Source organism: Homo sapiens, chromosome 7, assembly GCF_000001405.40.
Source record: "Homo sapiens chromosome 7, GRCh38.p14 Primary Assembly".
NCBI classification, from domain to species: Eukaryota; Metazoa; Chordata; class Mammalia; order Primates; family Hominidae; genus Homo; species Homo sapiens.
In genome coordinates, this window is record NC_000007.14 from 104275557 (window position 1) to 104277356 (window position 1800).

Genomic DNA, 1800 nt, shown 5'->3' on the forward strand with positions numbered 1-1800 from the left:
TGCTGCTAAAAAAATAAAATACAGTATTCCAGACATAAACTGTTCAGCCTAGAAGTCAAGAAACTATTAATCTCATGCTCTTGACTCTATTCTTTTAAAGGCGGATTGATGTTCTATGTGTTGTTTGGCAGCAAACTCACATTGCTTGACACTGGCTCACGTTAAGTTTTTTTTTTTCCTGTGTGAAAAACAACCTCTTTCCATACTTTCAAAGCATACATTTTTTAATGAAAAATACAGGAATTATCATTTATTTCTACTGAATTTCACGCTATAGATTTTAATCCAGTGTTCTAGCTCATAGGGATACTGAATTGTAATTATGTGATCTATGGTATAAGTTCTTTCTATTGCATAAATCATCATTCCTAATTTTGACCTCTGAAATCTTGCTTTCTGGGAGTTCAACCAAGTCACTGATATTGTTGACTTCAGTCACTTAAGTAAAGGAAGAGCCTCTAACACGCTACTGGAGATGCGGCTCTATTGGCAGTGCTGTGTGTCAAGATTCACTCAGGAAGTGGCAAACGACATCCACATGATGTCATTCATAAGCACCTACAGTGGTTGTGAAAGCTCCCATGACTCACCCATGGTACTGTCATGTCAACAACCCACTCATGAGACTGTCATTAAAATACACTTTAAATATTTATTAGAAATCAAGATATATCAAATGTCTATGCTGTTTCTCTGTTCTACCAAACCAAAATCTCATCCAAAAGGGAAAAGACTACTATAATATGATTGTTCTTTCTGAACTCATTTCTGTAGCCAATGAGTACTATGATTTCTGTTAAATAAATACTCTGTTTTGTCATGTCTAAGACTTTCACTTTACCTTGATTTTAATTTTCAGAGAAATTACAATTTAACTTTTTATTTTCTTTCTCATTTGCATACTTGCCTTGAATAATTAGGATAGATCACTGGCCAGAGAGAATTCCTCCATCAAGAATTGCTTCACACAGTCGGGAGCCAAGATGGCCGAATAGGAACAGCTCCAGTCTACAGCTCCCAGCGTGAGCGATGCAGAAGATGGGTGATTTCTGCATTCCCATCTGAGGTACCGGGTTCATCTCACTAGGGAGTGCCAGACAGTGGGCGCAGGACAGTGGGTGCAGCACACCGTGCATGAGCCAAAGCAGGGCGAGGCATTGCCTCACTCGGGAAGCGCAAGGGGTCAGGGAGTTCCCTTTCCTAGTCAAAGAAAGGGGTGACAGACGGCACCTGGAAAATCAGGTCACTCTCACCCCAATACTGTGCTTTTCCGACGGGCTTAAAAAACGGCACACCAGGAGATTATATCCCGGACATGGCTCGGAGGGTCCTACGCCCAGGGAGTCTAGCTGATTGCTAGCACAGCAGTCTGAGATCAAACTGCAAGGTGGCAGCGAGGCTGGGGGAGGGGCGCCCGCCATTGCCCAGTTAGTTGTTTGATTAGGTAAACAAAGCAGCTGGGAAGCTCCAGCTGGGTGGAGCCCACCACAGCTCAAGGAGGCCTGCCTGACTCTGTAGGCTCCACCTCTGGGGGCAGGGCACAGACAAACAAAAAGACAGCAGTAATCTCTGCAGACTTAAATGTCCCTGTCTGACAGCTTTGAAGAGAGCAGTGGTTCTCCCAGCATGCAGCTGGAGATCTGAGAATGGTCAGACTACCTCCTCAAGTTAGTCCCTGACCCCTGACCCCCAAGCAGCCTAACTGGGAGGCACCCCCCAGTAGGGGCAGACTGACACCTCACATGGCCAGGTACTCCTCTGAGACAAAACTTCCAGAGGAACGATCAGACTGCAGCATTC

The 1800-nt window shown here is 44.6% G+C and overlaps 1 annotated feature.

The window, feature by feature from the left end:
* Window positions 333-1532: an enhancer, noted in NCBI's record as "BRD4-independent group 4 enhancer chr7:103916337-103917536 (GRCh37/hg19 assembly coordinates)". NCBI's record gives its function as "activates an origin of replication core promoter dependent on BRD2, P300/CBP, MED14 and CDK7 cofactors, and independent of BRD4, by STARR-seq in HCT116 cells {active_cell/tissue: HCT116}" and the evidence as "EXISTENCE:reporter gene assay evidence [ECO:0000049][PMID:35650434]".